The sequence below is a fragment of the Homo sapiens genome, chromosome 8, assembly GCF_000001405.40.
Source record: "Homo sapiens chromosome 8, GRCh38.p14 Primary Assembly".
In the NCBI taxonomy this organism is placed as follows: domain Eukaryota; kingdom Metazoa; phylum Chordata; class Mammalia; order Primates; family Hominidae; genus Homo; species Homo sapiens.
In genome coordinates this window covers 25,388,204-25,404,181 of record NC_000008.11, presented here as the reverse complement: position 1 = coordinate 25,404,181, position 15,978 = coordinate 25,388,204, and the positions used below count along the sequence as shown (strand labels likewise).

Here is a 15,978-nt window from a genome sequence, read left to right as displayed (position 1 = left end):
TAAAGAGCTGCCATGGGGCTACCAAGAACCTGAATGTTAGCATCATCTGGCTCTAGGGGTGGGGCTACTGCAGGGCTTCTACTGTAGTGGGAAGTCTCAGATTAAAGGGAGATTTTTTGTGATATATCGTTTGGTTCTTTTGGAATTTCATGCCATGTGATTATAAAACCTATTCATAAAATAGATGTAAAAATTTATTTTTTAAAATGGAAATGATGAAAAAAATAGGTAATGACTATAGGTATGTAATAGTGTGGTAGGATTATGGGTGATTTCTTTGTCATTTTTCATTTTTAGTAACTGTTGTTATTATTCTGCTAATCATGACATTCCTCATGAGGAAGACAATGAGAATGACCCAAAGGCTATTTTTCTCAAAGGAGTGATGCGTGGCTAAAGGCAAACATTAGTAAGGCGTTACCCCACCCTTCCTGCAGATTAAAGATGAAACCCTTACCCATCAGATCCCGGTCTGGAAGGAGCATTGTCAGACGAGTTTGAAGAGGTGGAAACCACAGAGGAAGTGACTGAGGTGATGGACAACCTCCGCAGAGTGGAAGACATGATGTAGGGGAGCACAATAGACCCCGTGCGGCTTTGCTTCCTCTCCGTCAAGTTGGGTGGCTGAAAACATATGACTCCACATGGTTAGCGGACCTGGAATCCAGCCCCTATGAACTGGCCACAGCTGCCCTGTTTGCTTGTGGCTAACCAGTACCCATCTGTACTGGTTATGTGGCTGGCACCCCATTCTGATTGGTTGGTGCCTGTGCTGCCTCTATTGTTAAATATTGCATGTACTGATACTGTTAGCTATAGGTACAACTTAGGTTAAACCTCCCTGATGCTAAGACTAGAGAAAAAGTTGTCATAATTTTCTGCTACCTAAATGAGACAGGAAAAAATTAAGATGTGCCTCACACTCTCCAATAAATAGCAAAACCTTCCGTCTGCTTCCCCAGCTCAGCTGCTTTCAGTCTTTTAAAATATGGAATATTGGGGTTAGAGAAAATTGTTAGATTGACACTGTAGACATGCAGCTTAACCTGGTGAATCCTATGTTCTCTAGAAATGTCACCAGTAGGATTACCCCCAGATGCCACCATATGAAAATGACTCACTAATACCGGCCAAGTTCTAATAATGACTAAGCTCATTAAATCGAAGACAGTCTTTGCTGTCTAGGAATGTGTGTGCAAAAGACAAATGCTCCTAGAAAAACTCTTAAGTAGCAGCAGGTTAGGAGGCACAATCTTAGGAAGAAGGCACGACTGAACACTTAATGGCTGAAAGACACGCTCAAAAAGATACCCTGGAGGAAACTGTACTGAAGGTGGGCAGACAGGAATGGGGGAGAAAAGAGCATGAAAAGAAACTCAGAGCTTTGGTTTGAGGAAATAATGTGAAAATAAGGGGTTTAAGAATAAGACCATTAAAGGGCTGGGCATGCTGGTTCACACCTGTAATCCCAGCATTTTGGGAGGCTGAGGCAGGAGGATTGCTTGAGTCCAGGAGTTGGAGGCCAGCCTGGGCAACATAGGGAGACTCTATCTCTACAAAAAAGTTTTAAAAATTAGCTGGGTGTGGGCCGGGCGCGGTGGCTCACACCTGTAATCCCAGCACTTTGGGAGGCCGAGGCAGGCGGATCACAAGGTCAGGAGATTGAGACCATTCCGGCTAACATGGTGAAACCTCGTCTCTACTAAAAATGCAAAAAAATAGCTGGGCATGGTGGCGGGCACATGTAGTCCCAGCTACTCAGGAGGCTGAGGCAGGAGAATGGTGTGAACCTGGGAGGCAGAGCTTGCAGTGAGCTGAGATCGTGCCACTGCACTCCAGCCTGGGCGACAGAGCGAGACTCTGTCTCAAAAAACAAACAAAAAAAAATTAGCTGGGTGTGGTGGAGCACACCTGTAGTTCCAGCTACTCAGGAAGCTGAGGTGGGAGGATGGCTTGAGCCTGGGAAGTCAAGGCTGCAGTGAGCTGTGATCTCGCACTGCACTTCAGCCTGGGTGACAAAGAGAGATCCTGTCTCAAAAACAAAAACAAAACAAAACAAAAAGAATAAGACCATTAAAGAGAACAGGATGAATTCAAAGAAAAAAATGCAGATAAGTAGAGCTAGAACGTATTACACCATCACTCACTGGAGAGAAAAGGTTAGTACATACACGCACTATCCACTGAACTGCTCAGGAGGAGAAAAGAAAATTGTAGCTGTGAGGAGCTCGTCAAAAACAATTATGAAAGCAGCTACATGCATATGAAATGTAATTCACAATTCCTTCTTCCCTTCAAAGGCGTGAAAACTGTATACTTTTCATCAAAATAGATACTATTTCTAAGATTAGGAAAAAATGTAAGAATTTGGCCAGACAGCACAAGAATAACCAGTGTCTAGGATTCAGAAAACTTTGAGTTATTTTGGTTTGTTTGTTTGTTTGTTTTGAGATAGAGTCTCGCTCTGTCGCCCAGGCTGGAGTGCAATGGTGTGATCTCGGCTCAATGAAACCTCCGCCTCCTGGGTACAAGCAATTCTCTTGCCACAGCCTCCTGAATAGCCGGGACTACAGGTGCCTGACGCCATGCCCAGCTAATTTTTTGTATTTTTAGTAGAGATGGTGTTTCACCATGTTGGCCAGGCTGGTCTCGAACTCCTGACCACAAGTGATCAGCCCTCCTTGGCCTCCCAAAGTGCTGGGATTACAGCTGTGAGCCACTGCACCTGGCCTGATTTCTAGTACAGTGGTTCTCAAAGTGTTGTCCCCAGACCAGCAGCATCAATATCACCCGGGAACTTCTCAGAATTGCAACTACTTGGGCCCCACCCCCAGATCTATGGAATCATAAACTCCAGGGTTATGATGGCTCAGCCATCTGTATTTTCACAGGCGCTCTGGGAGGTTCTGATAGTTGTTCAAGTTGGAGAACCTCTGACCAGCACAAGGACTGCTCAAGGTCACCAAGAGGGGAACACACTCTCTCCCACCAGCCTCACTATTTCCATGCCATAGCTAAGTTATTACAACTCACTTGGCATCTGAAAAACGAATCAGTGTCATAAAAGGTCACAGAGCCTAGAAAAAGGTGTGAAGGCTACTTAGATCATGCTTACCAGTGTTATAACCCCATAGTGCTTTTCTACTTTCTCCTTGAGTTCCCGGAAGCAAGAAGACAACCGCTCATGCAGCGGCTTCAGCTGCTCTGTGAGTTTCTCCCCATGGATGCGGATCCCTTCTGTTAGCAGGGGCATCTGGAAAGAAGGGCAAAAAATGAGTGCAGTGTGCTTCAGGAAGAGGGATCGTTTTGATTTGGTTGGGGAAGGGAGGGATGGGGTGGAAAGGTAAACTGCTAGACATAGTGCTGGCCAATGGGAAGGCCACTTCTCAGTGTAGGACTTGTGGACTGGATGGACTTTGGTCAATGATGTGGGAAAATGTGCACACCAAGAATACAGGTTGGCCCTAAACTGGGGAAGGACTGTGGGATGAGGCAAATCTAACGGAGTCCTGGGGCACTTCCGTGGATGAGCAACTGATAGGTTTAAGTCTTAGACTGAATTTGGTAGTCATGTTTTCTACCACTGCCCACTGAAGTCTTGAGAGAAAAAAATGAGGCCAGCATCTCTCAGCTGGAAACACATGCCAGGAAACCAACAGATGAACTTTTCTTTTTTTTTTTTTTGAGATGGAGTCTCACTCTGTTGCCCAGGCTGGAGTGCTGTGGCGTGATCTCGGCTCACTGCAACCTCTGCCTCCTGAGTTCAAATGATTCTCCTGCCTCGGCCTCCTGAGTAGCTGGGATTACAAGCATGCACCACCATGCCTGGCTAATTTTGTAGTTTTAGTAGAGATGGGGTTTCACCATGTTGGCCAGGCTGGTCTGGAACTCCTGACCTCAGGTGATCCACCCACTTCAGCCTCCCAAAGTGCTGGGATTACAGGCATAAGCCACTGGGCCCGGCCCCAGCCGATGAACTTTGATCTCAGCTTTAAGAAGGCTCCGTCAACCCTGGGCAGTTTAACTGCCGGCCGAGCAAACAAATACATAGATAGGTGGTGCTTTCACAAGGGTTAAAAAAAGAAAGAAAAGTCACCCTGAGTGGGCTTGTAGACTTAAGCCCTGGAGAATAATGGGTGTCCCACACTGTGGCCTCCCTGGGAGTGTAGAGGAAAGCCGTCCTGTACCTGTAATGCTATTAGTCGCTTTAGCAGCTCAACCTTCTCCTGGTCTTCAGGATGCTCCTGCAAGTACTTTTCTGTAAAAAAAGCCTAAAAAAAAGCATATGCAAGTTTTAATTAGAACACATTCCTATCTGTGCAGGAAAGCCTGGAAGGGTGAAACATGTGTCCTGTGCGGAAGAACCAGATGTGTCTAACTAAAAATGCATCCCTTTCCTCAGACAGCTCTTATACTATGTTGGACAATGCAAAAAAGTGTGTGCTATTGTGTGGTCTTTCCTTAATTAGCAAATTCTTAGCAAAACTACATTCTTAACAGTCACCAGCCCACCACACACACACACTAATCAAATAATCATCATCAACAAAGCAAAACGTCATTCGTTAAAATAACTTTCCCAAAGAACAAAGCAAAGGCGAAATGGCAATATCTCAAGGCTAATCATTAAATTAAGTGCATAGATATTATAAGGGAAAGAGCAAAAAGTTAAAAAACAGAAGATGGAGGTGACAGTTTTTCTGCTCGTCCCGTGACATTGGCTATATCACGCTTTTTTCCTATATTAAGTGAAGGTTAATATTTGCACTTTCTTACTAGTCCCCTATCCCAAGTGCTATTTTAAAAAGAAAATGAGATGTAGATGTGAAGACATTTCAAATATATTAAATGCTGGTTGCCCTTATTATTATATATCAGCACCAGGCTCATCAGTAAACACTCATGACCCCCCAGCTAAGTCCCTGTAACAGGTAAATAAAACCCAAACTTAAATTCCAAACACAGGCCTTATATAGGGTACTGTTTTAAAGACAGAATTCATCAGGAAAGAGAAATAGAAGTTTGCAGCAAACGTTTCCAACAGACTCCAAAATTGGAGTGACATGTTTTCTTCCCAGACCTTAACATTCATTTCTGAAAGTGCTTTCGAAGACCAGCCTTCAGATTCCCCTTCGGTCTTCTGCTTTAATGCCTTGAGAGCCAAACCCCCCATTATATAAAACCAAGAGCTCCTGGAACTACAGGACAGACTTATAAAAGTGAATGGCCCATTTTGCGTGGCAAACAAAGTATGTGCAAAGCCTATCTTGCGAGCAGACATTATGGGTTGAATTATGTCCCCCAAATTCCTATGCTGAAGTCCTAATGCCTGGTACCTTAGAATGTGACCCTATTTGGAAGCAAGGCTGTTGCAGATTTAATTAGTTAAGAGGAGGTCATACATACTGGAGTAGGGTGGGCCCTTAAGCCCATATGACTGGTGTCCTTATAAAAAGGGGAAATTTGGAGACAGAAGTGCAAACACTGGGAGAACATTATGTGAAGAGATGCAAGAAGATGGCCATCGACAAGACATGGAGGAGCATCCTCAAGCCACGGAGCACCAAGAAGACACCAGAAGCCAGGACGAGAGACATGGAACATTCTTTCACACATCCTTGGAAGGAACCAACACTGTGACACCTTGATTTCAGACTTCTTGCTCGTGCAACAGTGAAACAAGAAGTTTTTGTTGTTTTAAGCCACCCAGTTTGGAGAACTTTGTTACAGCAGCCCTAGCAAACTAATACAACAGAGAATATGAATATATATGAAATAATTATCAGAAAAAGAAGCATGACAATATAATACATTAGCAAAACAGCTCATTCTAGCCAGGATCGTATTTAGAGGGACTGTCAGTATAAATGAAAAAGGAGTATTTACTTAAGTTTTCATTGACTTTTACCTTTCAAATACAAGTACTTGAAATTTTTGAAAGTTGTAACAATTTTGTTTTTGGTAAATGGTAGGACACATGGAAATTCCCAAAGTATTGGTTAGATCAGGGAACACTGGAGCAGAGAGCCCTGAAATTCATTTTTCTAGTAGGGTTCTGCCTCAGAACAGAAAGGGGAGATGAATTACAGCACACAGCTCCTGTGTTCTTATCATTTTGGCGATGAATAAAGAGCTGGATTAGAATAGTTTACCTACTACCTATTACCATTACATATTACATCAAATATGTAATGACGGGCTACCCCACTGATTGCAATACATCATGGTGATTAATGAGTTTACCTTTTTCTTACGTTTAGAAATGTGCAGTCATACATATTAACTAAATGAATACATTAGTATCTTAAGCCAAAGGTCCCGAAATGTACGTATGTATGTATGTATGTATGTATTTATCCTAGCTTTTTGTTCATTTTAATTAGAACACTGTCACGCTGGAAAAACTTCATATGATATTATGTGTCAGTCACAGATATTGGCATATATAAATCTGTGATTAGGGGTATTCTGTAAAAATTAATACTTGGAAAAAATACATGAAGATTAGTATCAAACAATATATATGAAAAAGTACACACTGAAAGTATTACAGTATTTAAAAAGTAGTGTATATTAGATCCTATTTTTATATTGACTGCCATTGTAACACTGGATATTATTATGGCACCTAACATGGAGAAACTAGAATTTGTCTCTGGTGTTGAGTCTTTCCCAGCTGCTGAGTATAATAAGGCTACAGAAGGCTGAAAGCCTGAGAAAAAGGACAGAAAGAAGACGATCATAGTGGCAGCCACAGAGCATAGATGTCACCACCCATGAAGAACATTCCAATTACACCGTCTGCTCCAAGTAGGCAGGAAGAAAACCAACACTGGTGAAGCCTCGACTCTATGTCAAGCACTGTCTGATGTTCCTTCTACACAGGATGTCTCCCTTAATCTTCCAAACCATCCTGTGATCTATCTTGTGAGTCAGGCATTTTTCTTCTTTTTTTTTTTTTAGACGGAGTGTTGTTCTGTCACCCAGGCTGGAGTTCAGTGGTACAATCTTGGCTCACTGCAGCCTCCACCTCCCGGGTTCAAGCAATTCTAATGCCTCAGCCTCTCCAGTACCTGAGATTACAGGCACCCGCCATCACGCCCAGCTGATTTTTTTATGTTTTTATTAGAGACAGGGTTTCGCCAAGTTCGCCAGGCTGGTCTCTATCTCTTGGCCTCAGGTGATCTCCCGCCTCGGCTTCCCAAAGTGCTGGGATTACAGGCATGAGTCACCGTGCCTGGCCAAGTCAGGCATTCTTCTCACTTTGCAGATATATGGAGCTCAGAGAGGTGAAGCATGTTGCCCAGAGCACACAGTGGCCAATTGGAAGCCAGAACTGGGTCCTGGGAGCAACTGAGTGCAAAGCTCCTGCTCTTCCCGGGACACACACACACACACACACACACACACACACACACGGACACAAGAGTGCCACCCAATTAATGCTGCTCACCCTTCCCCTCTGGCTCCTTTAATTTCTACCCACTCTCCAGGCGGCTCCACAGGGGCGTCCTTGACAAATGTTGATTTATATCCAAAAAGTTTATATTCAAAAAATATTTAACCACTGTAAACATACCACAGCAATGAAAAATTCTGCCTCCATTAATTATACCTAACATACACTGAATGCATGATGTGTATTTTAAATGCTGTTACATCCTAACCCTATCCCATGGATTAAATTGTGCCAAGTACTGCTTTCATGTCTCAACTAAGAATACTTAGTTGAACTAATTTAATTGTAGAGTCAGGGCCATCAGTTGTCCATACAACCTCTGGCACACCAAGTCAGGCAGGGGTCCTAGAAGCTAATTCCGCCACCCAAGCTGGAGTGCAGTGGCCCAATCTCGGCTTACTGAAACCTTTGCCTCTGGGGTTAAAAGTGATTCTCGTGCCTCAGCCTCCTGAGTAGCTCGGACTACAGGCATGCACCATCATGCCTGGCCAATTTTTGTATTTTTAGTAGAGACGCGGTTTCACCATGTTGGCCAAGATGGTCTCGCGCTCCTGACCTCAAGTGATCCACCTGCCTTGGCCTCCCTAAATCCTGGGATTACAGGTGTGAACCACTACACCTGGCCCCTAGAAGCTAATTCTAAAGAGAGTGTGGCTCTGCCATCCCCAGAGATGCTGCTTCATTTCCAGTGCGCCTGGGTTCTGGGGTCCACCAATCAGTTTGTATAACCCTCAGGGGAGACAGAATAACAGGTGCTTTGACCAGAGGCATGTTGGTTTTTTTTCTGTGACGCTTTACTAGGTAAGTTCTATACCAGCTGGGTTGCTGATAGTCTCTAAGAAGTCAGGGACAATCGTTTCATTCACTTCACTTGCCAGAAGGGAAAGTGAACATTTCTTAGAGCAGCTGTAGGAAATGAATTTGTCAGTGGCAAATGGCACAGAGGGAGGCACACAGACACCCAGGTCTGTGAATCCCTAGGGGATTCTGGGACCAAGCGAACCTTTTCATAGTTGGAGAAGCCCCCCATGACGGCCGGGTCCACGATGCCACTGAGCAGCATGGAGAGAGGGTGCACAGAGAGGGACCGGTCCCAGGCATGCTGCTGAACACAGTTGCTGATCCTCTCGTTGGTCAGCTCCATGGTTTCGATGGCATTCTCCAGAGGACTGATCTCTTCCTGAGTGACAGAGCACATGGGAGAAAGAGGACACTTGTCAGCTCCAAGTAAAGACTGAAAAAAGTTTAACTCTTCCCTTGAAGAGGTATAAAATGCCCACAAGCTATAGAAAAGGGAAGATTTGCTAATCAAGGTTAGACTTATAGCAGGGGTCCCAAAATGCCAGGCCAGTATCAGTCCGTGGCCTATTAGGAAACAGGCCACACAGCCAGAGGTGAGCGACAGGTAAGTGAGGGAAGCTTCATCTGTATTTATAGCCACTCTCCATCGCTCGCATTACAACCTGAGCTCTGCCTGCTGTCAGATCAGTGGTGGTATCAGATTTTCATAGGAGTGCAAACTCTATCGTGAACTGCACATGCGAGGGATCTAGGTTGTGCATGCCTTATGAGAATCTAATGCCTGATGATCTGTCACTGTCTCCCATTACCTCTAGAAGGGACCTTCTAGTTGCAGGAAAACAAGCTAGGGCTCCTACTGATTCCACATGATAATTATTTCAATATGTGTTACAATATAATAATGATAGAAATATAGTGCACAGTAAATGTAATGTGCTTGAATCATTCCAAAACCATCCCCTATCCCCCAACACCCCCCACCTTCCCACCCCAGGTCCATGGAAAAATTGTCTTCCAGGAAAGCAGTCCCTGTGTCAAAAAGATTGGGGACTGCTAGCTTATAAGGACACCACAATTTTTTGGAATAGTGGTAAGATACAAAATAAGCTATTTAAAATCTCCTTACAAAGTAGAATGATGACTTAAACATTGGAGCTATGGTAATGATTATTCCTTGGACAAAATGTCTACAGAAAATTTGAGAAGAAAAGAACTGGACCTGTAGTAAGAATCATTTCCTAGGCAACACTTCCTTGGAGACTTTTGAGAAGATCAACGACAAGAGAACAGCAGGATATCAGATCTGAGTCACTTCTGAACCACCAAGAATGTCCACTGGCAAAACGTTTGATGCTTCCTCCATGAAAAGAGGTAAGTGATCTTGGAGGCCATGCATTCAGACCATACATAATCTTAGTATGAATTCTATGTGTATCAGAAGTCAGAAATAATAGGATGTATTCGAATATACAGGCTGAATTTTGAATGAAAAGAAAATGAGACACAGTACAGATTCAGAGAGTTCTTCCTATGGAAATGTCTACAAAATCAGGTTTCAAAAAAAAAAAAAGTATCTCCTTCTTCATTTTACCCATTATCAGTCAACATGACCTCCTATTCCAGACTTGATTCCAAAAGTCTCCATCCAAAATTCATATCCATAACTGAGGAATAATGTCTAATTTTTTTTTCTTTTAGAGACAGGGTGTCACTCAGTTGACCAGGCTGGACTGCAGTAGTGCAATTATTCACAGCTCACTGTAACCTCCAACTCCTGGGCTCAAGCCATCTTCTTGCCTCAGCCTCCCAAGTAGCTAGGATGACAGGCACATGCCACCACATACTGCTATTCTTTTTGTAGAGGTGGGGGTCTTGCTATGTTGCCCAGGGTGGTCTTGAACTCCTGAGCTCAAGTGATCCTCCCACCTTGGCTTCTCAAAGTTCAGGGATTACAGGCATGAGCCACTGTACCTAGCCATGACTTATAACACATCAAACTTCAGTTCAGCTTTGGTCAAGAAACATTTCTTGAACACCTACTTTAGGCTAAGTGCCATGCTATGCACCACAGATACAAAAGTGATTAAGATGTATGTATTTCATGGCTTGGAGGAGCTGATGGTGTTAGCGGGGTCTCAGGACATGTAAACATGGTAGGTTAGAAACACGCCCAGGATGCCACAGGGGACAGACAAAGGGCAGGTCACCCAACTTGGGTGTTCCAGAGATGGATTCATTGAGAAGCTGGTGCCTAAACTGAACCTTGATGGGAGTTAGTTAGGTGCAGAAATTGCAAGAGTGTGTTTCAGGCAGAGAAAACGATCCAGTGTCACAGAGGACTGAAATTAGCATGGGATGAACAGTATGGTTCCAACAGATTGCCTAGGAGATGGGGCAGAAGAGTTAGGCCATACGTGTGTGTGCTAAGGAGGACAGGCTTTATACTCCAGGTACTTGGAGCCATGGAAGGACTTTAAGCACGAGAATGGACGAAATGGTGAGATTTCCTTAATGGAATTCCCACTGAGGCAGTGAGGTAACTGGACCTGAGAAGGCCATGCATGGCAGGGAGGCCAATGAGGAGGTGGGAAATAAAACAGATTTAATCAATACTAAACAGGTAAAATAAGCAGCTTTTGGGCGAGATGAAGAGGGAGGAGTCTAGGGTAACTGTGGATATGATTAGCAGAGAATAAAAGAAGAGAACAGGCTTTGGGAGGGAAGATGTAATTGACAAGAAACTCCAAAGCAGCATTCCAAAAATGTTTCTGGGTGCTGGCAGGATCGCTGAGCAGACACCACTCCTCTGGACATAAAAGAGTCATTCACTGTGATTGACCTTTAGGGCTGGTGTTGTCACATCAGTTTTACAAAGGAGCTCTATTATATAAGCATGCCTTTTATTTCTCTTTTGAAAAACAAAGTTGGCCAGAGGAGGCTGGCCAAGCTGGTGTGAACTGCAGAGGGAATTCAACAAAGGCTGTTATTATATTTGGAAACAGAAAGTTTTTTTCTAAATGCCAATTTCAAATGACTCACTGTTGAAATCTGTTTGACTTCAAACCACTTGAGAATCCCAGGAAAGGTATATGCAGTCGTATACGTGGTCCGTTCAATCCACATCGTCTGGTGGCAAGAAGGAAAACATGAAATGTTGGTCAATTCCCAGGAGGAAAACATGAAATGTTGGTCAATTCCCAGGGAAAACAGCAAGACTCCCTGGTTCACTTAAGTGAGATTCTATTCTCAAATGCCTCGTAGAGACTGAGCCAAATTTTCTCATAAAATTCAAGGATTCTGGATGTTTAAAGCTGAAAGGGATCGTCTACTTGGGACTTCTCACCCTACAGAGGGAAATGTGAGGTCTAGAGAGGTATGACTAGCCCAAGGTCATTACAAGCAGCAGGCCCAGGAAGAGACCAGATTCTGGACTCCTAGTCTAGCATTTTCCATGGAGATGACAGCTGGCTGTCTAGGTAATTAGTACTTGCTGTCTAGGTAATTAGCAGGTGAAGTCTCTGTTCCCAGGGGTGCCATCGTTTCTCCTGTGGAAGCTGGTTAGGTAGGTGGAAGATCTCCACTTGGGATGTCAATTTTACCTTTTTTTTTTTTTTTTTTGAGACGAAGTCTCGCTCTGTCGCCCATGCTGGAGTGCAGTGGTGCGACCTCAGCTCACTGCAACCTCCGCCTCCTGGGTTTAAGCAATTCTCGTGCCTCAGCCTCCCGAGTAGCTGGGACTACAGGTGCGTGCCACCACGCCCGGCTAATTTTTTTGTATTTTTAGTACCGATGGGGTTTCACCGTATTAGCCAGGATGGTCTCGATCTCTTGACTTCGTGATCCGCCCGCATCGGCCTCCCAGAATGCTGGGATTACAGGCGTGAGCCACCGTGCTCAGCCCGTTAATTTTACCTCTTAAAGGACAAAAGGGGTGAACTCACAGCAAATTCATTGTCTGGATCCTTTTCTCCTTTCCGGAACGGCCGGGAGTATCTGAACTGCTGCACTTCATTGGCTCTGTAGTAGCTGGAGAAGGACAAAGCAATGCTGTATTTTTCTCTCTTAGAACAACCACTGCTTGACTTGACTTCAACAAAACCTATAACACATCTGCCTGGTCTGAGTTTTACCCACTAAGCTATCTCATAATCAATAGTGCCTCCACATGAAGGCCTGAGAAAGTGTACAATTTGATTTTATTTCACACCTTACTTTTATATTATTTAGGAATTTATTTCACAGCACACAATTTTATTTATTTATTTTTATTTATTTATCTACTTTGAGTCAGAGTCTAACTCTGTCACCCAGGCTGGAGTGCAGTGACACGATCTTGGCTCACTGCAGGCTGCACTTTCTGAGTTCAAGTGATTCTCCTACCTCAGCCACCTGAGTAGCCGAGATTACAAGCACGCACCATCACGACTGGCTAATTTTTTTGTATTTTTAGTACAGATGGGGTTTCACCATGTTGGCCAGGCTGGTCTTGAACTCCTGACCTCAAGTGATCCACCCGCCTCAGCCTCAAAGTCACAGCACACAATTTTAAAAGGTATATGTGGCCAGGTGTGGTGGCTCACACCTGTAATCCTACCACTTCGGGAGGCAGAGGTGGGAGGATCGCTTGAACTCAAGACCAGCCAACCTGGGCAGCACAGCAAGATCCCATTTACACACACACACACACACACACACACACACACACACACACACACACACACACAGGTGTGGTGGTGTATGTCCCAGCTACTTAGGAGGCTGAGGTGGGAGGGAGGGTCTCTTGAGCCCAGGAGTTTGAAGTTGCAGTGGGCTATGATCGTGCCACTGCATGCCAGCCTAGTTGACAGAGAGACCCTGTCTCTTAGTGGGCGGATTGCCTGAGCTCAGGAGTTTGAGACCAGCCTGGGCAACACGGTGAAACCCCGTCTCTATTAAAATACAAAAAATTAGCCAGGTGTGGCGGCGTGTACCTGTAATCCCAGCTACTTGGGAGGCTGAGGCAGGAGAATTGCTTGAACTTGGGAGGCAGAAGTTGCAGTGAGCCAAGATCACGCACTGTACTCCAGCCTGGGTGACGGAGCAAGATTCCGTCTCAAAAAAAAACAAAAAAAAAGGTGTATGCACTTACACATACATTTGTGATCTCATTAGTCTAGTTTTATAACAGTTCTTTCAATACTGTTAGCATTCAGCTTTTCAAGACAAGGAATGAGCCCCTCCATCACTGGGGACCAGCCACTCCTCTGCGATGCTTTTGGGTGAAAATAAAAGCTCAGGGATCTGTAAGCTAGGTGTGAAATTTCTGATTTTCCTCTGCCTAAAAAAACCAAAACCCCCACATCCCTTTGTATTACCAAGCTTTTATCTTACACTCAAAGTAGAACAGACAGTAGGTCTTGCAAACTGTAATAAATGTAAGGCTTTGGTTTTGATGTACTCCAAACAGGTGTGAGGGAGAGACAAACTTTTCTCTTTTTTGTAGAGACAGCATCCCACTTTGTTGCCCAGGCTGGTCTCAAATTCCTGGCTTCGAGCAATACTCCTCCCTCAGCTTCGGAAAATGTTGAGATTATAGATGTGAGCCACTGTGCCTAGACACAGATTTTTTTTTTTTTTAAATGAAAAACCACTTACTTTAAGATCTGCTCTGGAACAGGTTTATCCTTGTAGCTGGGCGGCAAGCTCATCACTGGCTTTACAGTGAAGCACTGCATGTCTGAAGAGCTCGTTAAGGAAAGGAGAGGGGCTGGGGTCGTGAAGGTGTCAGACACCAAACACCCCTGTTCCTCCTGCTTCACAGCCGGAAATGCCACCAGCACCAATCACTCCCTTTGACCCCAATGCCAGGACCACACTGAAAATGGGAGTTCCTTTGTGTATCACTGGAATGCCTTATTCAGTGATTATAATTAATCCTAGGGCCCTTTTTTTTTTTTCGGTCAGACATCTGGCAAACAATCCTTGCCATAGGGAAATAGACATCAATGCAATATCAGGAAATAGGTACTTAGAAATGGATTTAAACAATTTCTTGGGACAAGCATCCCTCTGAAATCACCAGAATCAGAGCCCAGGCAACAAGAATTACTTTTATCTTTGGATCCCGTCTGTTTATCCAGTGCCATAGTTGGGCACTGTGCTAGGTATTTTGAATGTGTTATCTCTACTATACACAACAACTCTACATGAGGGATATTCTTATTCTCTTTTCACAGATGGAGAATCTGAGGATAAGAGAGGTTAAAATCCAACATCACACAACTGGTAAATGGTAAAGTTAGGCTTCAAAAGCAGCTCAAGTGTAAGCGCTCCTGCTCTGATTTAATGATCAAGTCTTAGAAAGTCTTAGCTCCCCAACCCACCAGGACAGAGATACTGTCTCAAAGTCTACAACAGAATCCAGAATTCACAATAGAAAGTATATATTCCACTTAAGCTCCCCATCTGGCTACGAAGTATATTTCATATCCATCATTTGTCTATTATCTCTCCTCTTTTGTTATGTCATCACCACCAGCTAATGCTATTAGGGTCCCAAAGATTTTACATGGAATGGGAACCTGTGTCAGAATGCTTGAGAAGATGGTGTGTCTGCAGAGAAGGGACTGTAGCTCCTATGTTCTCTGGCTTAGCTGGGGCTGTGCACAGCCATAAGAGCCTCGGGGCCATACTCCCCCCGGAAAGGATACACTGCTTGGGGGACGACTTGATGTCTTCCCCAGGAGGCGTGGTACTGGTCATCTTCTCCGCATTGGGGAACTGGGTTAACAACCTCAGGCTGAAGTCCTCTCGCCTCTCATACTCCTTTCCCCGATAGATGAAGATTTTATTCTGCAGGTGAGACACAGAAAGGGAAGTCATTACATAGGAAGAGTGGAGAGGCAACTGGAGTTCCGGGTACTGAGGTAGCCACTGCACTCCCCAGCCAACGTTCAATCCCCACCATCAAGTTCTCACTGAAAATCTAGTCCTTGCCTGACAGCGACCATCATATCCTACAAGAGCTGCGGTTTATTGGAGAAGTTAAATCACAGGCATAAAAAATACTTAGCCCAGTTCTTCTTCCAGTGTGGCCCAAGGACCATGGCCAGTCTGCAAACAGTCTGGACCCATCTGCAAGGAAATACGGAACTTGTGCCCTCATTTAAATCAATGACATCCACAGGCATGCTGATATTTTCATGGCAAGACATTCTTAAGGAAGGAAGGAAGTGCATTAATTTACATTGAGGTATAAACTCCTAATCGATCTCATCACCATCCAGCAACAATTTGTGGACCACCACTTAAACAGCACTGCATAAGAGAATGAGGAGAAGCAATGTGTCTTCTGGCACAGAAACAGAGTGACAGAGAACAGAAGCAATGTACCACAGTCCCCAGCCAATCCTGAAAGTCTAATAGAAAATTACTGCATTAAATACTATTTTCTCCACTCTAGACTGTAAATATAATCTCTTTAATCATTTTTTTTTCCCCAAAGAGATTTCCTAGGCCCCAGGCATGGGAGTAATTTGTCTCACAGGTGTGGTTGCCTGGGCAAGTGCAAACATAGCCATGTTTGAAATGAGCAGTTTCCATTGGTAGCCCACACATGATTCCTTTTTAAGCAACACTTGGGCCCAGGTTGTCTTGTAAAATGTCTTTCAAAATCACTTGTCCATTCATATAAAAATATGTATTGCACAAAGAGAAGATCAGCTGGACAACAGGAATAC

At 44.2% G+C, this 15,978-nt stretch overlaps 1 protein-coding gene across 1 annotated transcript in view; it reads right to left on the bottom strand.

Annotated features, from left to right (window-relative positions):
- Positions 1–15,978, bottom strand: part of DOCK5 (dedicator of cytokinesis 5) — a 231,023-nt gene that overhangs the window by 11,530 nt on the left and 203,515 nt on the right. The window contains exons 41-48 of the mRNA NM_024940.8: positions 14,950–15,091; positions 13,895–13,976; positions 12,202–12,286; positions 11,300–11,386; positions 8,463–8,639; positions 4,188–4,271; positions 3,116–3,253; positions 458–624 (exon numbers count right to left, since the gene is read on the bottom strand). Of these exons, the coding sequence (NP_079216.4) occupies positions 458–624; positions 3,116–3,253; positions 4,188–4,271; positions 8,463–8,639; positions 11,300–11,386; positions 12,202–12,286; positions 13,895–13,976; positions 14,950–15,091 (962 nt within the window). The remainder of the gene's footprint in view (positions 1–457; positions 625–3,115; positions 3,254–4,187; positions 4,272–8,462; positions 8,640–11,299; positions 11,387–12,201; positions 12,287–13,894; positions 13,977–14,949; positions 15,092–15,978) is intronic.